Genomic DNA, 24927 nt, shown 5'->3' on the forward strand with positions numbered 1-24927 from the left:
AGTGCAGTGGCGTGATCTCAGCTCACTGCAAGCTCCGCCTTCCAGGTTCATGCCATTGTCCTGCCTCAGCCTTTTGAGTAGCTGGGACTACAGGCGCCTGCCACCACGCCTGGCTAATTTTTTGTATTTTTTAGTAGAGACGGGGCTTCACCGTGTTAGCCAGGATGGTCTTGATCTCCTGACCTCGTGATCCACCTGACATGGCCTCCCAAAGTGTTGGGATTACATGTGTGAGCCACCGCACCCAGCCTTATTTTTTATGGAGATGGGGTCTTGCTATGTTGCCCAGGTTGGTCATGAATTCCTGGCCTCAAGCAATCCTCCCACCTTGGCCTTCCTCAGTGAATTACTGTGCTTGGCCTGAATATTTTCTTAGTGAACTTTAAATGGAGAATTAGAATTTGGCTGGACATAGATGCTGTCTCTCATTTGTAAATTACCTGTTCACTTCTCTGCTTTGACATTTTGTTTGGTTCATTTTATTTTACAGGTAGCCTTGGCTTCTGTTTATTATCCTTCAAGATTAGTATTAAATCCACAGGATGAAGCAAGTCATAATTTTTTAAGGTTTTTATGGTAGTAACTACCATTAGAAATCTTTCAACCTAGGCATAAGGGTGGGCGTCGGTGTGGGTGTGGAAGTGCAGATGCTTTAACCATGACTTCTGACAGAGCATCACCACCAGTACTAGAAGATTCAACCCTGCCTTTTATTTCCCCTAAGTAACACCATATGGTACCTTTTATTTATTTTTTATTTTTTTTTGAGATGGAGTGTCACTCTGTCGCCCAGTCTGGAGTGCAGTGGCATGATCTCGGCTCACTGGAACCTCTACCTTCTGGGTTCAAGCGATTCTCCTCCTGCCTCAGCCTCCTTAGTAACTGGGATTACAGGTGCCCACTACCATGCCCGGCTAATTTTTGTATTTTTAGTAGAGACGACGTTGCACCATGTTGGCCAGGCTGGTCTCAAACTCTTGACTCAGGTGATGCACCTGCCTTGACCTCCCAAAGTGCTGGGATTACAGGCATGAGCCATCACACCCAGCCCCCTTTTTAAAAATTACATAAAGAAATTAGTTGGCTAGGCATGTTGGCTCATATGCCTATAATCCTAGCACTTTGGGAGGCTGAGGCAGAAGGATCACTTGAAGCCAAGAGTTTGAGACCAGCCTGGGCAACAAACTGAGACCCTGTCTCTACAAAAATTTTTTTAAAAAATTCGGTGGGGCCGGGTGCAGTGGCTCATGCCTGTAATCCCAGCACTTTGGGAGGCCGAGGTGGGTGGATCACGAAGTCAGGAAATCAGGACCATCCTGGCTAACGCGGTGAATCCCCGTCTCTACTAAAAATACAAAAAATTAGCCGGGCGTGGTGGCAGGCGCCTATCGTCCCAGCTACTCAGGAGGCCGAGGCAGGAGAATGGTGTGAACCCAGGAGGCGGAGCTTGCAGTGAGCCGAGGTCGTGCCACTGCATTCCAGCCTGGGTGACGGAGCGAGACTCTTGTCTCAAAAAAAAAAAAAAAAATTTTGTTGGACGTGGTGGTGCATGCCTGTAATTCCAGGTACTTGGGAGGCCGAGGTGGGAGAATCCCTTGAGCCCAGGAGTTTAAGGCTGTAGTGAGCTATGATTGCACCACTGCATTATAGCCTGAGTGACAAAGACAGACCCTTCCTCAAAAATATAGAAAAATAAATATTGTCTAAAGTTAGTAGTATCTACTTTACAGAATGTTTAGCTGGCACCAACTTGTGTTTTTGGCATTGCTTTTGATTCACTGTTATTCTGAGCAACTATCTATAATTCTCTACCTGAGGACAGATGAGATGAAAAGTGTTTGTGCTGCAACCGTCAACCAGGTGGGCAGAATATCATGTACCCCGTGGAAACTTATTAAATATTCAGTGGTGCTAAGAATATGGAATGGCTCAAAGGGAAAATGAGTTCTAACTTACAGGCGACTCCAGTTTGAGGCAGCATCTCTATGCTAATGTAAATTCTTTAATGCAGAACCTATACAGTTAGATGGTCAGGGATAAGGCCTAAGGGATGTTTAGCAGTAAAGTCGTGTGTGTGTGTGTGTGCGCGCGCGCACGTGCGCACACACACTCAAGTAGCACATTTAGAGATCTTTATCCAGATAAACCGAGAAGAATAAAATGATTCTGGAACAAGCTTAGTTTGTCCGATTTATTCAAAGTTTACATTGCAAAGGAGAGAGCTAGTTTTCATCTAGTCCATAAAATCAGGTGGCATACGTATGCTATTTATGTATTTGTGTTTTTTATTGTGGGAATCTTCAAACATTCAAAATTAGGACAAATAAATGAATACAATAAATAAAATGAATTCATTTATCATCACTAGATTCACTAGTCATCAATACATGCCAATCTTGTTTTACTTATTTTCTTTCCCCATCCCCTAGCTATATAAAATTTAAGCAGGCAGCACATGAATAGGTCTCTATTTGAATTTAGTATATCATAATATTATAGTAAACTGTATAGTGTTCTTAATTTTTAACCTGTTTTTACTACAACAAATCAAAACGTGACTTGGGGAGATTTTCATAAATATTTTTGAGGAGACTTTTAGAGAAAATTTAAAGCTACTTGGTAGATTTTTGAGAAACAGTTTCAGGAATACCTCATATTTTGTTGTCTCTTTATTTATAGATTTTCCTAGAGCAGGGTGTCAGCATTAGATAGCAAATTATTGGACCAACTGCTCTCTGAATAGAAGATCTTTGCTGTTTTGTCAGAACTCAGTAGCAGAACTTTTCTGATATTGTTTGACTTAGCCTAAAGAGGTGCCTGGAGTGTAAAATTTAAGAAGACACTCATTCTCAGGTGCGAACTCTGTACCTCACAAGCCTGAGAACAGAGTGCCTCCTTAGTTTTGTGCCTGGAGTGCCTCACTTGCCTTACTCTTGTCCTGGCCTTGTTACACATACTCATATTAAAATCATTTTTTGAGCTCTTCATTCTTGTTTTAGTGAAGAACTGAAAAGCTTGGGCTTAAGAGGTAGCCAACACACATAGATACATACCTACTTTTTATTTTGAATTTATACTTTTCATCTCAACTGTATTCCCTACTTATTACCTTAGAGTATTACAACTGTCATTAGAACACTTAAATTTAAGTGCCTTCTATGCCATGCACAGTGGTAGATGCTTTTACTTACAATGTTTCACTTAGTTCTCACATTTCTCCTTAAAGCAGAGGTTATTCCATGTTACAGGTCAAGAAATGTTTACTCAGACTGAAGAACTCTTCCTAAAATCATGCAGCTAGTAGTAATGTAGCTAGGATCCCAACCTAGTTCTGAGTCCCAGACTCCATTGCTGGTTACTACCTTCATGGATGAATGTATACCAGAGAATTTAGGCCAGGTGTGGTGGCTCACGCCTGTCATCCCAGCAGTTTGGGAGGCTGAGGAGGGTGGATCACCTGAGGTCATTTAAATGTGTATGTGCGCACACACACACACACACACACACACACAGAACTGCTTCATTTTCTCAAAGTGTTTACGTTTGAATACATAAAGACTGAGTTATCTGAACACTGCTTCATTATAGAAATCTCAAAAAAGAAAAAAAAAATGAAAGATACAAAAAAAAAAGAAATATCAATCCTCTTATTCCAGTGATGGATATGAGTCCTTATTTTACTGCTCTTGAGGAGTGATTTTGTTCCACTTTTTCAGAGGCTACTCCACATGGTGGCAGCACTGCACCAGCACATATTAGATTCTCTTAGAAAAGAAAAGAATGAATGCTTCCAGGGGTTGTGCCTTAGTAGTTTTCTTGTAGCTCACTTCAGAAGGGCATCCTAGATTTGAAAGCACTAGAATATCTGCAGAAATGACTTTGAAATCTTCTAATATGAGAGATAAATGTTGGTCGAGGGCTGAAAATTCTTGGTGTTATATTGACCTCAAGTCTGGTTCCTAGTGACACTGTGCCTTGCTGCAGGTAACAAAGCTTTACCATAGTTTTGTTTCCTGTGTTTTGCAGAGAATCACATACATCTTACTTTCCTGCAGTTGTTTTACAATTTATAGTTTAGTTGAAGCTAACTTTTGATGAAATACTAGTTAAGAGAGAAAAGATGAATTTAGAAGTAAAAAAATCTCACTCTATTAAGTCCTAGCTTTATGTTCATGTTGTTTAACTTACCCAAGTCTGTTTCCTTTCCTGGAAGATGAAGGCTACTATCTTAGAGAGTTGTTTGGATTATTAATTGAGCTTTTGCATGAAAAGTGCCCTGTAAAGTGCTTGGCTTATGGGAGCTCATAAGTGGTGGCTGCTACTGTAATTATGAAGTAGGTATTAGGCAGAGGTTAACATTATTGCTACAATATTAATTTAAAAGGTTCTGATTCCTTTAATATTTGTATGGACTATCTGTTCCAAGGGAATTAAACTTGTCGTCAGATGTGGACTTTATTAGTTCATTATTTTGAAGGTAAACCTCCATCCAGAATAAGGAAACATTTTAGAGCTATAGGGAAATAGCTTTTGTGGTTTTTTTTACAAATGTCACAAGTATATATTTGCAAGAAAATGTGTATCTTTTTGGTATATGACTTGTTTTATTGAGATATGCACTTTTGAATGAATGATAGTATTCTCTAGCTTCGTTACTATGGTTTTCTTTTTTGCTCTCAGAGGCATTTAGGGGTATTCAAACCTCAGTTAACTTACGTATATTAGAATTTGCAACTCCAGAGATGCTCTTGACAGCCCCACCATATGTGCTTTGCTTTTTGTTTTTATTTATTTTAAAAATTTACTTTTTATTTTTTGAGAGACCTGGTCTTGCTCTGTCACCCAGGCTGGTGTGCAATGGCTTGATCATAGCTCAGTGCAGCCTCAAACTCCTGGGCTCAAACAGTCTTCCCGAGCAACTGGAACTACAGGCATATGCTACCATGCCCAGCTAATTTATTTTATTTTATTTTTTGTAGAGATGGATCTTGTTTTGTTGCCCAGGTTGGTCTCAATCTCCTAGCTTAAAGCAGGCCTCCAGCCTCAGCCTCTCAAAGTACTGAGATTATAGGCGTGAGCCACCATGCCTGGCCTGCTTTTTGTCTTCTTGGGTTCAGTCCTCGTAAGTCCCTTTGGTTTACTGCGTAGCCCCTTTGATCTTCATCTTCCAGACTGTCTATCACTCTCACAGCTGCCCATGAGAATACCTGTGCTTCATTGTTCTGTCCTCTCTGCAAAATTGCAAACTGTTGAATTAGTAAAAAAAAAAAAAAAAAAAAAAAAATTTCTCATTTGTTAAGTGTTCTTCTGCATAAGCAGCATGCTCTCAGAATAGCCTCAATTCAGGCCAAATATAATCTTTACCAAAAGTTGTAGTTAAACTTCCAGCTTCTTTTAATTTGAACTTTTGCTTGAAAACCATTTTATGAAAAATAACATTTTTCTTCTCAGAAAGCAGTATGTATTTTGACTATGTGCTAGCCAGCACGTAGACACAGCATGGGATTATGATGGTGGTTCTCAACCAGGAGTGATTCTACTCTCCAGAGGACATTTGGCAATGTCTAGTAACATTTTTTTGGTTGTCAAACCTGATGGGAGGAGTGCTACTGGCATATATCGGGTAGAGTCCAGGGATGTTTTCAACATCCTTCAGTGTACAGGACAGTCCCCCGACAACAAAGAATTATCCAGCAGTAAATGTTAATAATGCCAAGGTTGTGAAACCCTGGATTATGGAAATAGCACTGAGGCTTCAGAGCCAGAGTGGCTGCTGTTTGAGTCCTGGCTTGGCTGCTTACTAGAAATGTGGCTTTGAACAAGTTATTTAAAATGAACTTCAGTTGTCTTATATGTAAAACTGAGGTAATAATGCCGATTTTAGTGAATTATTTTGAAGATGAAAGAATAATGTATTTAAAATTTTAAACTTTGCCTGATATATGGTAAATGCTTAATAAACTGCAGCTATTCTTGAGGAAGTGGCCTAACATTATGCACCTTCCGGTTGTTATAATCTTCATTTAGGCATTAGGAAGTTTACTTGTGTGGTGATTTGTTGTCAACCTAAGATGATAAAATATTGAAAAAATGCCATCTGTCTAGATCTCTTTCTAAGAATTTTTGTCAGAATATATTTGGTATTCATGTAGGCTATGTTAAACTGCCTATTAAAGGTAGGCCCAGAATGCATAGAAAAACTTAATGACTTAACTTTATTTAGTACGTTAATTATAGGATTGTTGTTATCCTTAAATATATATTAGTAAGTAACAATTACAAAATTAAAATATTATACATAAATGAAATTTAAAATGTGTAATACTTTTCATATCAAATGTCCATGAAGGAGTTAGAGCTGGCAGAATTTTAGGCACATATGATAATGTCAGTATGTGGTGAGCACTTGATAAGAGTAACATTGAAGGTAATACATTCAGTCTGTATCTGAGTTCCTCAAATTGTGTTTCATATTATAAAAGGAGCTGCTGTTAATTTTTGCAGGATTGAAGTTTGGGTAAGTGGAATCATTGGGGGCTGCTTTGATATGAGGCCAACTTCCCAGCTCTTGAATTTCCCACCAGTTGGTCTGAGTGTATTTCTGTCTCTACTTATAGAGAAAGCAAACACTTTTTGTTTTCCTTTTATAATGTGCTTTGTGGAAATCATTTTCTGTGTATTTTCACTTTTAAAAAATCATTACGTCGTTTTATATTATTATGAACTTAGGTTTTAAAAAATATCTCTTTTTTTTTTTTTTTTTTTTTTTTTTTTTTTTTTTTTTTGGAGACGGAGTCTCGCTCAGTCGCCCAGGCTGGAGTGCAGTGGCGCGATCTCGGCTCACTGCAAGCTCCGCCTCCCGGGTTCATGCCATTCTCATGCCTCACACTTCTGAGTAGCTGGGACTACAGGCGCCCACCACTACGCCTGGCTAATTTTTTTTGTATTTTTAGTAGAGACGGGGGGTTTCACCGTGTTAGTCAGGATGGTCTCAATCTCCTGACCTCGTGATCCGCCCGCCTCGGCCTCCCAAAGTGCTGGGATTACAGGCATGAGCCACCGCGCCCTGCCAAAATACCTCATTTTTTAGAGGAACAATTTTAAATTTACAGAAAAGTTACAAAGACAGTACAGAAAGTTTTCATATACGCTTCAGTCAGTTTCACCTAATGTTAACATCTTACGTAACCGTGGTACATTTGCCAAAACTAGGAAATTAGCATTGGGATGTTACTATTAACCAAAGTAGAATTTCACCAGTTTCAACACTAATGTCCTTTCGCTATTCCAGGATTCAGTCCGGAATACCAAATTGTGTTTAGTCACTTCCTTTTATAATGCATCAGTCTACTCTGTTTGAAGGTAGCTCGAAAACAGAAAAGTGCTTTACAACCATGAAATGGCATTTTTCATCCAGTCACCATAGCATAGTGGTTGAAACTCAGGCTCTAGAACCAAATAGATTTGGGTTTGTATCCTGGTTCTGCTATTTCTTAGACGAGTGGTGTCTCTAAATTTTAGCATCCTCATCTACAAAGTGGAGATTACAAATAGTGCTTCTATCGTAGGATTGTTGTGAATATTAAAGGACAGAGGGCTTGCAAAGCACTTAATACTGGTCCTCATATGGAGTAAGCCCCTAATAATAACAAACACATATCCTTTTTTTTTTCTTAAGAGACAAAGTCTTGCTCTGTCGCGTAGGCTGGAGTGCAGTGGCACAATCTCGGCTTACTGCAACCTCCATCTCCTGGGCTCAAATAATTCTCCCACTTCAGCCTTCTGAGTAGCTGAGAGTACAGGCACATGCCATCATGCCTGGCTAAGTTTTGTATTTTTAGTAGAGACAGGGTTTCACCATGTTGGCCATGCTGGTCTTGAATTCCTGACCTCAAGTGATCCGCCTGCCTCAGCCTCCCAAAGTGCTGGGATTACAGGCGTGAGTGAGCCACCATGCCCAGCAGAAACATATATTCTATATTGTACAGTGATTGTAGTGCCGGATATTAATAATTTTAGAAGGGTTAGTATTTCAGTGGCAAAATTTACTTTTTAATTTTATAAGATTAAAATTTTAAGGTTAAGATTAAAACTTTTAGGATGAAGAATTTTAAAGATTAAATTTTTTAAAGCTCTGAGGGCAACTTACCCACAAATGAAGCTAAATCTAAGAGTACTACTTACTACTTTTACAAGGTAATTATTCAAGGGTGTACGTTTAAAGTAGTTCTCAACAGCAACTTCCTGAAAGCTGGATCTGTTGTGTGTTGTTTTGGTGGTTTGCCAGTATATCAAGGCTCATTTGTCACTTTAAGATGACCTCAAGGCTGTAATTTGGCTGGGGAATACTTTACTCTTAGAAATGGGGAGATCATAAGTGGTGTGATAATAAGTGTTTTATTTTGTTCAAGTTGCAGCTTGCTTTAATGAATTTTAGGGGCCATGGTCCAAATAACTGTGATGGTTATAGGCATGCCTTTTATTTGTTTATCGATATTTATTTGTAGTGTTTTGGCTTTGAGAGTACTTGAATTTTGTTAAATCATATCTTAAACCACTTAAGTAATGAATTTTATTTTTTGTAAACCTTGTTACTATGTAATCAGACTTTCTTTTCATAATGAGATGTGTTGGCTCACTAGGTAGTTTTACCTCTCATTCTAAGGAAGAAGATGGGGAAAAAATGGAATATTCTAGATTGTAATGTAGCAGGCATATTAACAGTTGGCATTCTAGACAGTGTTTTGGATTAAAGTATAAGCCCTAAGTTTTACTTGTTTGACTGGTACTGCAGTCATTGTCTCCTTAAGGAGATAATAATGACTGAAACTCTCAGAACAAATATGTTGTCCTATGCCTCACATGTCATTTGAGGTCATTCTGTAAAGGAGATAGCAATATTCTAACACTGCTAATTTAGAAGAGAACAAAAATATGTAAACCACCTGTGTATTTCCTCATAATAGTTTTGGTCAGTTACTCTACTTCTTTCACTTTATTCAAGTCTTCAGGGATACCAGCCAAAATAATTGTAAATTGAGCAGAAAAACTGAAGCATAAATCTGTTCATAGTGTGTGACCTTGAAGGTCATTGCTGGAAATCAAAGTCCTGTAAATAGTAATTTACTTAACAGGAAGAAGTCACTGAACTGGAAAGTGGTAAGTTTCTAAGGTTCCAAGGCCACGAAAATGAGTGAAATTAGAGTGCAAGGTGAAAATCATTTTAAGGGACAGGGAAATGGGTGAGAGATTCCTCATAAGTGAGCTTATGTGTGTGATATTCCACTCCCAGTTTATATCTAGATTTCCTTTGAGAGTCCTTTTTTTTACAGGGTCATTTTTATTCTAACCATACCTACTGTACCAGCTCACTCCTTTTTTAACAAAATGAGGTCAAATTTATTATCCTCAACTGCTGCATATAAGACAGGTATAGATCATAAATCATATTTTATAGCTAGGTAGTAAATCTTTCCCTCCCTAAGTACTGTAGGATATGATTATCTCTGAAATGTATAAAGTAGAATACATTTTTCTCCTTGTATATAAATCTACATGTCACCTTTGCTGGAAATAATGTTTGGATTATATTATCCTCCCCTACTCTGAATCTTCTTTCCCTTCCCTTGGTTGAAGTTCACAAGTCTTGGAAGCTCTATAAATGCTGGAGACCAAGTATTAGTACTCAGACACTGGAATCAGATGCAGACCTTGAGTTCAGATTCAAGCAGGAATCCCTTTCTGGCTGTGTTGACCCTAAGCAAGTCACTGAACTTCTCTAAGTCAGTTTTGTTATCTGTAATAGGTGGCTTTTAGTAGCAGCTACTTCAGAGTTGTTATGAGGATTAATAGCACAAAGTAAATATTCAATACATTTTAGCTATTCCAGTCTTTTATCTCTGTAAAACTCATTCTATTAGTATAATGTAAGTAAAAATACAAATTGCTTATCATTAAAAATTCAGGCTGGGTATGGTGGTTCACACCTGTAATATTAGCACTTTGGGAGGCCAAGGCAGGAAGATTGCCTGAGGCCAGGAGTTTGAGAGAAGCCTGGGCAACATAGTGAGACCCTGTTTCTATTTAAAAAAAAAACAAAAACAACCAGCAGATTCCACAGGTCCATAAGGAAATATCATATTGAAGAGAAGTCTGTAATTAAGGCGGAGAAAGATTTGTCTAGGATTGAGTATGATTTTACACATCTACATGTGCTGCTTTTATATATATGTTTGTGTTTAATATCTATCTCTGTAAAGTATACATAATTGGGTTAGCTCTTTGAGGGGATGTGAGGGGTGGGGAATGTTTAGTTTCAGTCTCCCCAAGAATAGAATTTACCATAATTGGGAGGCAAGATGAATAAAGGATTTTTTTTAGTTTTTTATTTTACTTTTATCTTTTTGGAGACAGAGTCTCATTCTGTTGTCCAGGCTAGAGTGCAATGGTGTGATCTTGGCTTACCGCAACCTCTGCCTCGCATGTTCAAGTGATTCTCGTGCCTCAGCCTCCCGAGTAGCTGGGATTACAGGTATGCACCACCATGCCTGGCTAATTTTTGGTATTTTAATTAGAGACAGGGTTTCACCATGTTGGCCAGGCTGATCCCAAGCTTCTGGCCTCAAGTGATCCACCTGTTTCAGCCTCCCAAAGTGCTGGGATTACAGGCGTGAACCACCGTGCTCGGCCAAGGATTTATTTTTTTAATGCTGCAAATGTGTCCCTTTGTCACCTGGATGCCAACTTTTTATAAATCAACTTGTGCTGAGGAAGCTCTCTTAAGAAACCCTATTTGTAGGCCAGGTACCTTATGGTGGCTCACACCTGTAATCTCAGCACCTTAGGAGGCCAAGATGGGAGGACTGCATGAGGCCAGGAATTTGAGACCAGCCTGGACAACATAGTGAGACCCCTGTCTCTACCAAAAAAAAAAATTAGCCAGGCATGGTGGCATGCACTGTGGTCCCATCTGCTAGTTCAAGATTACAGTGAACTATATGATTATGCCACTACACTGTAGCCTGGGTGACGGGCAAGACCCTGTCTCTTAAAACCAACCAACCAAACAAACCCCAAGGAAATCCTATTTAAAAATTCATTTTTAAAGCGAAACTTTCTCTAGAAACCCCCCTTTTTGGCTGGGTATGGTGACTCACATCTGTAATCCCAGCACTTTGGGAGGCCAAACTGGGAGGATTATTTGAGACCAGGAGTTCAAGACCAGCCTGGGCAATATAGCCAGCCCCATCTCTAAAAATTTAATTAAGAAACTTGACTGGGTGTGGTGGTACAAGCCTGTAGTCCTGGCTACTCAGGAGGCTGAGGTGGAAGGATCACTTGAGTCCAGGAGTTTGAGATTACAGTGAGCTGTGATCAGTGCGACTGCATTCCAGCCTGGGCAACAGAGTGAGACCCTGCCTCTTTAAAAAAATACAATTTTTTTCTTGGAAACTCTAATTTTTCTGAAATGGTAGCTAAAGGCCATTGTTCTCTTTCTGTCAGTATTTCCTAAGAGAAATGCCAATTTTTTGACAGGAGAAGTGTTACACATAGTTGTGTTAACAGTTCTAAATCAAAGTAATAGTTCAAATGAAAGAAGCACACCTTTGTCTTAGTATACAGGTGAGTCAAGGCAGTTATTGTAAGGGTTGGATTTGTTCTTTTGTGATATTATTGTCTAGAGAAGACTCTGGAGGAAGAGGAAGTAAATCTTGAGTTTCAATCTATTATTTTAAAAGTTTATTTTAAAAACGGAACAATATATATTCATAGTACAGAATTCCAAAGAAACAGTATAAACATTGACAAGTGAGTTGTCATGTACTCTCTAGCCACCCAGTTGCTGTCTCAAAGTTAGTCTTTTTCTTTAAGATACTTTAGATTCAGTGCGACTGATTTATTTTAAGTTTTCATTGAAGAGTGAGAGAAACTCGGCTTACGGACCAGGAAAACTGAGAGTGCTGCCTGGTGAGCCTGCCTCAGTATGTTGCTAAAAATGTAACAGTCTGACTGTGGAGATTAGGAGATGAAAGTGTAGAGATAGGATGGAAGGAACTTCAAGAAATTTTAGAGAAACATTAGAGTTTTGGTATAGAGGGGTAGGATAGCATCTCCTCTGGACGGTCACCATTTGGCAGTGATCTCTCTTATTTGTGCAGGCTTTGCTAAACAATCATCTAATCTGATCTTTCTGGATCCTTAAGTTAGACTTACTTTTCTCCATTTCATTTCTTGTTTTAATGTCATGATAAGTGGCAATTGCCTATTTAAACATCAGACCATACACTTCATTAGGTGCATTATACACTTGGTTTAATTTCCAGTTGCCTATAATAACAGAGGATTTCTAATTGCTCATTCTGTTTAGCATTCTTCTGGTCTTTTTCTCCCCATTGCTGTTTTTAATTCTCCCCCTTCTCTCGTTTTCTTTGTCTATATTTCCTATTACTAGACCTTATATTTAATCTTTTTGTTTTTTTAAACATGAAAAGGGTTTCACTGACAGAAGTGGTAATTTATTTCAGACAACTGGTAACCAAGACTGGGCATGTGTTGGCAACAATAAATCAAAACAGGCATTTGGCCTTCTGATATGATATTTTGATTCTTTAGACTATAATAAGGTCAACTAAGTATGTTGTGCAAGGGAAATAAAATATCTTGCATGTGAAGCACATGGAAGGGATTATTATTTCTCTCTTTATGGCTTTTCTCATGCTTGATGATAGAGTTAGCAAACAAAAATTAAGTCAGAAAAGAGCCTCATACATGTTACCATCCAGTAGGTGGGCTAGATAAGTTTTCCTGATTTGTCTTAACAAGTATAAAATAGTATATCTGTAACCATATTTACCAAGTGAGTCTCTGATTTTTCATCTTAGCATCTTTGTTCTGATCACCAAAGTATAGCTTGAGATGATTGCATTTGTGGCATCATTATCCTTTACATAATAATGGACATTTTTGTAAGTATATTATTTGTTAAATAAATCACATTCTCTAGACATTTATCTTCTAGATAAAATCATATGCTGGGATAATCTGAAGATTACACAGATGATGTGAATACTAAAATCAATAGCTAGATTGTAGTCATTATGTTTCTTCCCTTGCTAACAAAATGATAATCATACAAATCTTAATTTCTCTAGTTTTTATTAAGGGACTTCAGTAAGAACTAACAATGGTTTTACATTTTTGAGAATATTTCCAATATATATAATTGCTGAAGCTTGTCTCCTATCACATCTCATTTATACTTGGAGAATATTTATTTATTTATTTTTGAGACGGAGTCTCACTCTGTCGCCCAAGCTGGAGTGCAGTGGCGTGATCTTGGCTCACTGCAACCTTCACCTCCCGGGTTCAAGCAGTTCTCCTGCCTCAGCCTCCTGAGTAGCTGGGATTACAGGCACACACCACCATGCCCGGCTAATTTTTTATATTTTTAGTAGAGACAGGGTTTCACCATGTTGGCCAGGCTGGTCTCGAACTCCTGACCTAAGTGATCCGCCCATCTCAGCCTCCCAAAGTGTTGGGTTTACAGGCGTGAGCCACCACGCCCAGCCAACTTATACTTGGAGAGTATTTATATTCAGCCTCACTTTGCTAATCTTTCATCAGCATCTGGGAACCTCACTGCAAAACATGGTCTTAATTTACTTGTACAAAGCCACAATATATAGTATTTGTATGTATGCATTTTTTTTTTTTTTTAGTATTTTTGCAACTTTTAAATGACTTTAGATGTTCTTCCTTTGTAGATTTCTTAAAATTAATTTGTAATTTTGATAAAGTGTTGACTTTTCTTCCTGCAGCTAAATGGATTCCCAGATCTGTGAGTCAGGATACAAGTGTACTTTCTAGTATAAGGTAGCAATTTTTCAGCCGGGCATGGTGGCTCACACCTGTAATCCCAACACTTTGGGAGGCTGAGGCAGGCAGATCACCTGAGGTCAGGGGTTCGAGACCAGCCTGGCCAACATGGCAAAACCCCATTTCTACTAAAAATACAAAAATTAGCTGGGCATGGTGGCATGCACCTGTAGTCCCAGCTACTTGGGAGACTGAGGTGGGAAAATCCCTTGAACCCAGTAGATGAAGGTTACAGTGAGCCAAGATGTGTGCCTACTCAGAAAGAAGGATACATTTGAAATACTGTATTTCATTGAATCTTTAATGCCACTGATTATAAGATGTATTATTATTTTCTGTATTACTAAGAAAGAAAAATGCTTCCTATTGAACTGACAGGCCATTGATTATAAAATGCAACCCAGTTTCAAAGGTGTTAATGTGAAAAACTGTAGCTTACAGTTGATGAATTATGGTAATATAACCAGCCACCTTAAATTTACATAAGGCTTTGTAGAAAGCACTTACACATATGTCATCTGATCTTATCCTTAAACTAAAACTAATCTGTGAGGTGGATTAAATTATCTCGTTTTCAGATGAAGAAACTGAACTTCACAGAGATTACATATTCTCTCAGCATTGTATACTAGTGAACTAGGGTCTCAGGCCCACATATTCTCACTCTAAGACTTGTAGTATGATTAATGGTGTCACCTCCCCCAAACCCATACATATACAGCTACACAACTATAAGATTATTTGGCCTAGATTTTTCTCTCTGTTGCCTAATGTACATATTTCATATTCAGACTTTGTCATTTTTCATATGCTGTTCATATGTCTTGATTTTGAAAGTTTTGAGTGCTGTTAACATGGTTAATGTATGTTTTCCTATTAAATAACATGTGACTCTGCTAATATATGAATTGTTTTAATTCTGGGTTGCCTTACCACTATATATAATATCATTGGTGGTTTAATATATGTTTTGAAGTGATTTATTTGTTTCTATCTGACTAGGTAAAATGTTCAGGAATGGTTATGAATTGAGATCCGTGAAATGACCCAGAGAAGGCTGATGAAGTGTTTGTCTATAGCTGTGCTGTTCTTGGTGAATCAAGGTCATACCCCCTTCTTTTCCAGGTGGTGGCTAATGCCGTAGCGGCATTATCTGAAATCAGTGAGTCTCACCCAAACAGCAACTTACTTGATCTGAACCCACAGAACATTAATAAGCTGCTGACAGCCCTGAATGAATGCACTGAATGGGGCCAGATTTTCATCCTGGACTGCCTGTCTAATTACAACCCTAAAGATGATCGGGAGGCTCAGAGGTCAGTCTGTTTTCCTGGCTACTTTCTGGTAGTCTTGCCTGATGCAGTAAGTTCTGGAGTCTGCTATTAGAATAAATCTGTTGAGGAAGGTCAGTGGCTTCTGGGGTAGATATTGCTATCTCCAGGGTATTTTCTCTCTGGATTTAGGAATATTTTAGGTGGTAGAATAAACTATGCAAAACTATTTCTAAGAAATGTATGTTTTTCATACAGTTACTTCTGCTAAAATCTCTTTTATCGTCTTACGTCTCCCATGCACAGTTCTTGGCCATTTGGCCAGCAAAGATTATTGAGTATCTCTCTTTGGGGTGACAGATTTTTCATTCTATTAGATATATAGAAAGTGGCTTCATATTAGTTATTGAGCTGACCTGTATATATAATTCAGTATGAGAGAGAGTATGTTAAAGTCAGCAGAATATATCCTCCTTTCCAGTAGATATGGAAACCATGTCAGTCTGAATTTGAAGATTTTAGAAGGCACACCTAGATTGTTCTGCTCAGCCTGTTACCATGTAATGTTGCAAATTTTCTTTGGTTATTAGAAATTGACTACTAAATTTCATCTACACATACATACATTTTAGTTTACAAAGTTGGAATTATCCCTAATTTTTATTGAGCATTTTGTATATGCAGGCACTGTACTAGGCAAAGTACTTCTGAAGAAATGTTGGCTCTTCATTAAAGTTGGTATATTTTAATTATGGTATTTAAGAACTGGTCTGGCTGAAGCTGATTTCCAAGCTACTAGAATGTAAGTGATCTTCACTTATCTGGGAAATTGTCCCTCTGGACTGAACTAAAGCTCACTCTGATAGTTTCTTTCCATCACTGAAAGTACAAATATAGTCTGGAAATAACTTTACTGAGAATTTTATTTTCTTCTGTTGGCCATTGACATCACATTCATTCATTCACTCACTTAGCAAATATTTATTAAGTGCATACTGTGTGCCAGGCAGTGTTCCAGGCTCTGAGGATACAGCAGTGAACAAAGTCATGGCCCTCTGGGATCACTTATTCTGAAGGATGGGGGTAGGAATATATATAATATGTATAGATAATATAATATATAATATGTATAGATAGTGTAATATGTAATATGTGAGATGGTGATAAGTACTAACAAGAAAGTAAAGTAGAGAAGAAATCTAAGAAATGCTGGGCATTTGGGGGTGAGGGGTTGTATTTTCTTTTTAAAGGATGGCCAGGGAAGACCTCACTGAGAAGGTGGCATTCATATAAAGACCCAAAGGAAGTCAGGAATAGGAGGAAGAGAGAAGTACAGCCTATTTATCTTCTTTCTTTAATACAGTAAGTTAGCTACTTGTGTTGCCCAAGCTACCAAAATTGGATTAATTTCTAAAGAACCCTCAACAGATAATTAAATATCAACCATTTTATGAGGCATGTAAGTGTAGGTGGCAGGGGCTAGGAGAGGGGGGAGACAGGAAAATATAGTAGTGGTGTCCTGCTATTTAAAAAACAAACCCTTTTCAGAGAGTCCCTTATTCTCATTATCCTTAAGAGAGGAGGTTGGATTGTTTTCCCTACCAGCCTGCCTCCTGCTGTATCTTACAATGAAATCTTCAGCCACAACTGCGTTTGCTGTCTCTTCCTATGAAATAACTCTCAGAATGCTTAATTTGACTTCCTATAGGTTGAGTAGAAATGGGCTGAGAGGCAGGGAGCCTTAACATAATATGGGGAGACAAAGAGGACTATAAAACAAGAAGGTAAATGGTGTGAGCTCAAGTGTCTTGGGTATTGCTAGGTTCTTTCCAGTTTGAACATCCCTTATTACTGGTTTCCTGAAGTCTTCTTATGTCCCTGCTCTGCCTGTAGTTTGCTGAGAATGAGGCTTCTGCATTGTTGGATCCCAATTTTACCTAAGCATGGAGCTTTGACTTTTCTAACTAATTCTTTAATTTTTTGATACTTGGCCATTAGACTCTGACATATTACCTTATAGAATGAATTCAGCAAATAAATTATAATTCATGATATTAATTTTCATTCTCCACCCTCAGCATCTGTGAGCGGGTAACTCCCCGGCTATCCCATGCCAACTCAGCAGTGGTGCTTTCAGCGGTAAAAGTCCTAATGAAGTTTCTAGAATTGTTACCTAAGGATTCTGACTACTACAATATGCTGCTGAAGAAGTTAGCCCCTCCACTTGTCACTTTGCTGTCTGGGGAGCCAGAAGTGCAGTATGTCGCCCTGAGGAACATCAACTTAATTGTCCAGAAAAGGTTGGGAAATAGCGAAGTGTTGATTAAAGTGTTTGTAATTTTGCATTAAGCTTAATAATGTCAATGTTAATTAGGCTAGTGTTAATCTCTTTTTAATATATGGAAATGAAAATGTTATATGGCAGAAAAACTTGCTTGCCTAGCACCAGGAGGCTAACAGTTGATATTACAGTGTTTCTATAATAAATGCCATGCGTTGCTCCACAATCCAGTTTGTTTTCTGAAGGGTCTCTTTCTGATATACTGTCTAGTGCCTGGTTGATATGGTTCAGGCTGTAGTTTAGAGCCAGATTGTTGTTCTAGCAGTTCTTCATGGCAACATGTGCCCTGATGCTTAAAAAGGATAAAAATAATCTGCCAAGTGGAACTGATAAGAATAGAGGCGTATAGAGGAAGTTTATGCTTTTTTTTTTTTTTTTTTTTTTTTGCCTGAGTGGAGCGAGAGGAGAGCAGAGAGGCACAGATTAGGTATTAATACAGTCTCAGAAGGGTATATCAGTATATGCCTTCACCTTCCTTTCTTCTGTTTCTGTGTACCCTAGGCCTGAAATCTTGAAGCAGGAAATCAAAGTCTTCTTTGTGAAGTACAATGATCCCATCTATGTTAAACTAGAGAAGTTGGACATCATGATTCGTTTGGCATCTCAAGCCAACATTGCTCAGGTCAGACTTTATGCAGACTCAAGTTGATGATGATTTAGCTCTTAAGGTCTGGCCTTTAAAGAAGCTAGGCTGTGAGATTGCTATTTGAGAATCCTTAATGATTAACCACTTCCTGGGTTTAACAGGTTCTGGCAGAACTGAAAGAATATGCTACAGAGGTGGATGTTGACTTTGTTCGAAAAGCTGTGCGGGCCATTGGACGGTGTGCCATCAAGGTGGAGGCAAGTGTCTGATGGTAGTTAGGATCATGTATTGGGGATTCTGAGAGTTCTCTTCACTTTTTTCTTTAAAATAATTTTTAAGTTTATCAAAATAATAAAGCACACAGTTTCAATGTTAAAGAATTTTTAATGGAAAGCAGCTGTCTCTGGTTCCTCCCTTCCCTACCTAGACTTTCTTCTCAGAGGGAATATTTTTAACTCTGATTTTGCTTTTAGTTATTCTTTTGATTAAAATAGGTCCTCCATATCCATGAGTTCCACATCCGTGGATTCAGCTAACTGCGGATCAAAAATATTCAGGGGAAAAGAAAAAGGATGGTTTTGTCTGTACTGAACATGTACAGACCTTTTTTTGTCTATATTCCTTAAAAATATAACAATTATTTACATAGTATTTACATTGCATTAGGTATTATAAATAATCTAGAGATGGTTTAAAGTATACAAGAGAATGTGTATAAATGCAAATACTATACCATTTTATGTAAGGCACTTAAGCATCCATGGATTTTGGTATCCACAGGGGCCCAGGAACCAATCTCCCATGGATTTGGAGACATGACTGGGCTGCCATATCTCTAAATAATATTCTTGGCTGGGTGCAGTGGCTCACACCTGTAATCCCAGCACTTTGGGAGGCCAAGGTGAGAGGACTGCTTGAGCCCAGCAGTTTGAGACCACCCTAGGCAACATAGTAAGGCTCTGTTTCTACAAAAACTTTTTTAAGTTAGCTGGGTGTGGTGGCACACACCTGTAGTCCCAGCTACTTGGAAGGCTGAGGCAGGAAGATTGCTTGAGTCTGGGAGGCTGAGACTGTAGTAAGCTGTTATTGTGCCACTGCACTCCAACCTGAAACCTTTTCACTCTGGGTGACAGAGCAAGACGCTGTCTCAAAAAAAGAACAACAATAATATTCTTATGCTATTATTTATTAATTTACCTATCATAGACTTTTTCTGTTAACTATCTGCTATAAGAAGTTTACTTCATACACCCACCATTCCCACTTCCGTCTCCTGTTTTCCAGTGTAGTTACATAATGAAGGTTTTTGTTCCTATATCCATTATCATGGTAGATTGAAATAATATGCCTTTGTTTCTTATTCTATCAACTGTTGGCTTGCAAAATTTATGCATATTACGACTGTGTAAATATTTAGGGCCAATGTAATGCAAATGATTACATTTTCTTTCTTATAGCATCTTTTTTTTTTCTGGAGGTTTTTTGTTTTGTTTTGATTTTTGAGACAGAGTCTCTGTTGCCCAGGCTGGAGTGCAGTGGTATGATCTCGGCTCACTGCAACCTCTGCCTCCCGGGCTCAAGCGACTCTTATGCCTCAGCCTCCTGAGTAGCTGGGATTACAGGCATACGCTACCACACCTAGCTAATTTTTGTATTTTTAGTAGAGACGAGGTTCGCCATGTTGGCTGGGCTGGTCTTGAACTCCTAGCCTCAAGTGATCCGCCTGCCTCAGCCTCCCAAAGTGTTGAGATTATAGGTGTGAGTTACCACACCTGGCCCTGGAGTTTCTTTAATTGCCTCTTTTTTTCTTGCATGTGTGTCTTTATCATGCCCCTATATTATTCCTGTTCCTTAAGCATAATATCAAATCTGTAAACTTTCTTTTGTCTTAGACCCTTCTCTTTTGCAGTCCTCTGTCTTCTTGTTTTTTCTACTCTGACTGATTGCTTTTCTGGCTTCTGCACATCATTCCATACAGCCTCCCTATTTCTTGTTATTGGTATATTTTTCCTTGCATTGCTCTTTTTGTGGTTGCAATAGCTTCTTGAATCTCTGAGGATATGAATGATTCGTTTTTTTGTTTCTGCACTTTGAATTTAATTATCGGATATTTTTTGGTGATGATTGCATATCTATGCATATAATTTTTTAATTGAGATGTATACCATGCATACAGTAAAGTGCAGCTCGTTTCTGTTTAAGAAAGAGGTAACAGAAAAGTTGATTAGGACTTCTGTATACATAGGCAAGGCTGTCGACTATCAGGTTTCTGCTTTAGGGAAGGGGGTTTATCTTTACATGGAAGACCTCTTGAAGAGCCTATCTGGTCTTAGAGGGCAGATTGGTTTCTAGCTTGGCTGCAGCCTTCCGGTAAGTATTATGGGCTGTAATTTACATTGCCCTGCTTCATCAGTCAGCAGTCCTCCATTTGTTTGTCCTCATTCAGAAATTTGTTGAAATTAACAGTGGCTTCTGTTCACTGTTTTTATGGGTTCAGAGCCCCATGTTTGTTCTTGCTACTTGATTATATGCAGTTCTGCCTAGAGTCAGAGGATTGGACCATATGATTTCTCAGGAATACGAAAACAATTTGTACAGTATGACCAGTACTTTACCGGAACAAAAGGAGGCAGATGTGTGTCAGAGAATCTTCTATGAAATACCTGTTCCTAATTGGCCTTCCTTGTTTTTTTTCAGTTTAGTGCTGCTTCATGTAGTTTCTGTTGATAAATAATTTAATAGAAAGGCTGTTAACAGCAAGAAGTTAGCTAGTCCTGGGTTCTATTCCTGGTTCTGCTAGCTCACTTGATTCAGATATTTAATGTTTCTCTTCATTGGAGAAATGTTAAAGTCTTTTTGTTGGATCTTGATATGTTAACATTGTTTTTATTACCACTGTCACCACACGTCACAACTTGTTTTTCTTTTCTTTTTACGTTAACATATCTTACTAGCCGTCTACTTAGTATTAATGTAGATAATTTTCAGAGAGATTTTGGTAGCATAAGAGTAAGGTGGTTTTGTTCTCTTCACTAGTGTACATAGCCATCTTTTCCACAAGACTGCCATTGTCTTATGACCTACCTCTCTGACAAAGCTGTAAACAGTAATACAAAAATTATATCTTATTCTGAAGTTCAGAGACTTTCTAGCCCTGGAATTACTAGAAAGTGTTCTCAAAGCATCTAGATTCCTCAAGGCTGTTAGTCATCTATTGTGACTAATGGAAAGGTTCTCCATAATCTTCTGGAAAAGACTTCTGATGGCTTTCACTTCTTCCTTTGACTAAGCGTGCTTTGATGGGAGTATGACAGGATGTGAGGAATGAACTTTCCCAGGAAACTTAAGGTCACCCTTCAGGAATCCTGTCTTATCTAGTGCTGTCATTTCAGATTACCCAGATTTACCTTAGAACTTTTCCTGTAACTGTTTCAGCCATGAAGGTTTTCAGTTTGACAGAGTTGCCAAGCCAAACAGTTAATTGGACCAGGAGAGGCAATGATTGCCTGTTTGCACTAACTCATCCATGGGACAGGAATCAGCAGCATAAGAATTGTAATGAACTTTCTGTATAGCTTTGGGAAGCAACAAGCTGTTGAGCAAATAAATAGCACTGAAAAAGCAATCCTATGGTGCTATTTTTTTGTTCAATAACTTTTGCCTATTTCTTTCAGGAGTAAACAAACTCCTGGTCCTTTTCAGTTTTAAAAAGGAGAGAGGTTGAGGCACTAGGTTAAGACCAGGAGTTCTTCACTTCCTGGTCTTCTGGTTATTTTCTGTTTACTATTTCTGATTTTTATATATTAGAATAAAATATTGGTTTGTGTGTCATTTCTTAAAGACAAAAAACATATTTTTCCTATTAGGAAAACCATATTTGTTTACTATATATAATTATAGAACAAGTTAAACAAAAAATGGGGTACCCCGCTTTCCCCATCTTCTGTTTCACTCTCTCAGATATGCAGTGGACATAATCTGGTAGACATCATTTTATATCATTGTTTATATAGTGTTCTATACAAAGATGTATTTTTTTATAAAAATGAAATCATTCCACAAATGCTATTTATTTACTTTGTTTTATCCTCTACTTTTTTTTTTCTTACTAGTAATATCATGGACATTGATCCACATTATAAAGAAAAATTTATGTCATCTTTAGTTTCTGGTTTATAGACATAACGTGATTACTTGATAACTTACTGAATTTGTAACTTTATCCCTTATTATAGGACCTTAAAGTTGTTTCTACTCTTTTTCCAAATGGTGGTATAAGGAGTATCCTTGCAACTAAATCTTTGAACTCTAGTTGAAGTGAACATTTTTTCATAACAGTTATGCTTATTAGCCATTTGGGAATTGCTCACTCATGTCCTCTGCACCTTTTTCCAATATGTTATCTTTTCCACATTGTTGTTTTAAAGTCTTTTGTAATTGAGATGTTAACCCTTCTTTTAGTTAGCATTTATTTTCCTAGTTTGTTGTCCTTTAGATTTCTTCTGCTTTCTTGATGCACAGAAGTTTAGATTTTTGTATCAGCTTTTCTCAGTCAGTGTTTTTCCTCAGTGGCACACTTAGAAAATTGTGCTTCACCTAAAGTTATATAAAATTCACTATTTTTTTTTTTTTTACTTCTATGGCAATGATTTTGTTTTATTTGTTTTTTGGGGGGTGGTGGGGAAATGGAGTCTTGACTTGTCGCCCAGGCTGGAGTGCAAATGGCGCAATCTCAGCTCACTGCAACCTCTGCCTCCTGGGTTCAAGTGATTCTCCTGCCTCAGCCTCCAGAGTAGCTGGGATTACAGACATGCACCACCATGCCCGGCTAATTTTTGTATTTTTAGTAGAAACAGGGTTTCACCATGTTGGCTATGCTGGTCTTGAACTCCTGACCTCAGATGATCCACCCGCCTTGGCCTCCCAAAATGCTAGGATTACAGGTGTAAGCCACTGCACCCAGCCCTTGTTTTATAGTTTAAGGGTAATTTTAATCAACCGGGAAATAATTTTAGTGAAAGATATGAGTAGAGTGGATCAAATACCAGAACAAATTGTTCTTTCCTTACTGTTATGAAATGTTGTCTTTATCATATACTGAATTTTGTATGTATTTCTGTTTCTGGACTTTTTGTATATACAATGATGGGATGTTTACTTCTGTTCCTCTGCCATACTGCTTTAATGGTAGTTTTTTTTTTTTAATCAAAAGCAGTATGGTTGAGATGATAATTTTCTTTGAAAATTAATATCCCTGACATAAATGTTTTTCAAATGTTTATACATCATGAGTAACATCCTTTTATTTGTATTCATTTTAATGATAATACTACGGATTTACTAAATATGAGCTTTATATCAAGCACTGTGCTAAGCACTTACTTGTATTATTAATTTATGGTAATTCAATGCTTACAGTGGCCCATATTCTACATACTACATAATTTATTAATATAACAATTATAATATTAATAAATATAGCATATTTAAATTTTTCCAACTGTTTTGCTGTTGCAATAACAGCAAAGGAATTAATAGCTGAAAATGAATAAAATAGAGGACATAAATAGAATCAGAAGAAGGACAGAACTACATAAAAGACTGCAGAATCGGCCGGGCGCGGTGGCTCATGCCTCTAATCCCAGCGCTTTGGGAGGCCGAGTTGGGCGGATCATGAGGTCAGGAGATCGAGACATCCTGGTCAACATGGTGAAACCCTGTCTGTACTAAAAATACAAAAATTAGCTGGGCTTGGTGGCCCATACTTGTAATCCCAGCTACTCAGGAGGCTGAGGCAGGAGAATCACTTGAACCAGGGAGTGGGAGGTTGCAATGAGCATAGATTGCGCCACTGCACTCAGCCTGGTCACAGAGCGAGACTGTGTCTCAAAAAAAAAAAAAACAGACTGCAGAATCATTTCATGGTACAACAGAACCATCCTATATATGACCTCATATAAATGATCTCAAGGTACAGTTTTGTTTTTATTAAATTGCTTATAGTGGTTTAGATTGTTATAGTACTTCTAAAGATCTTATTACAGAAATTTTCAGGTGTACAATAAAGTAAAACTGAATAATGAGATCTTGTGTAGTCATCATCCATCTTGAGCAAATACTGATATGTTAACTGTTTCCGTTTTATCTTCTCCCTCTTCCTCTTCCTTCGGGTGGGTGGGATGCGAATACAAATCCCATATATCATCTTACTCAAGTAGTCCAGTGTGTATATCTAAGAGATAAGATACTTTAAAAAATATATTGTCACATTACCATGCCCAGCAACTAACAATAATTCTTAATTTTATTGAATATTCAGTACATGTTCAATTGTCCCTAATTATGTAAAAATGTCTTTTTACAGTTTGTGCAAATGAAAATCTAAATATGGTCTGGGCCAGGCGCTGTGGCTCACACCTGTAATACTAGCACTTTGGGAGGCCGAGGCGGGCGGATCACTTGAGGCCAGGAGTTCGAGACCAGCCTGGCCAACACGGTGAAACCCCGTCTCTACTAAAAATAAAAAAATTAGCCGGGCATGGTGGCGCACGCCTGTAATCCCAGCTACTCGGGAGGCTGAGGCAGGAGAAATGCTTGAACCCAGGAGACAAAGGTTGCAGTGAGCCAAGATCATGCCACTGCATTCCAGCCTGGGCAACAGAGTAAGACTCTGTCTCAGGTCTGCACATTGCATTTGAATAATGTGTCTCTTAAGTCTTTTTACTTACTTATTTTGGTGCCAGGTATTGAAGAAACTAGGTCATTAGGCTTATAGAATTTCCCACAGTCTGGATTTGGCTGTTGTATCTTAGTGATGCAGTTTTATCTATTCCTCCATCCTCTTTAAATAATTA

At 38.2% G+C, this 24927-nt stretch overlaps 1 protein-coding gene across 16 annotated transcripts in view, besides 1 other annotated feature; it reads left to right on the forward strand.

The window, feature by feature from the left end:
• AP2B1 (adaptor related protein complex 2 subunit beta 1) overlaps positions 1-24927 on the forward strand; it is a 139092-nt gene that overhangs the window by 22075 nt on the left and 92090 nt on the right. For all 16 annotated transcript variants that reach the window (XM_011524450.3, XM_005257938.4, XM_047435509.1 and 13 more), the window contains 4 exons: positions 15001-15191; positions 17225-17446; positions 17989-18109; positions 18235-18330. In XM_011524450.3, coding sequence (XP_011522752.1) covers positions 15001-15191; positions 17225-17446; positions 17989-18109; positions 18235-18330 — 630 coding nt within the window. The remainder of the gene's footprint in view (positions 1-15000; positions 15192-17224; positions 17447-17988; positions 18110-18234; positions 18331-24927) is intronic.
• Positions 20867-22066: an enhancer, noted in NCBI's record as "P300/CBP strongly-dependent group 1 enhancer chr17:33957282-33958481 (GRCh37/hg19 assembly coordinates)". NCBI's record gives its function as "activates an origin of replication core promoter dependent on BRD2, BRD4, P300/CBP, MED14 and CDK7 cofactors, with strong dependence on P300/CBP, by STARR-seq in HCT116 cells {active_cell/tissue: HCT116}" and the evidence as "EXISTENCE:reporter gene assay evidence [ECO:0000049][PMID:35650434]".

The sequence above is a fragment of the Homo sapiens genome, chromosome 17 (assembly GCF_000001405.40).
Source record: "Homo sapiens chromosome 17, GRCh38.p14 Primary Assembly".
Classification (NCBI taxonomy): domain Eukaryota; kingdom Metazoa; phylum Chordata; class Mammalia; order Primates; family Hominidae; genus Homo; species Homo sapiens.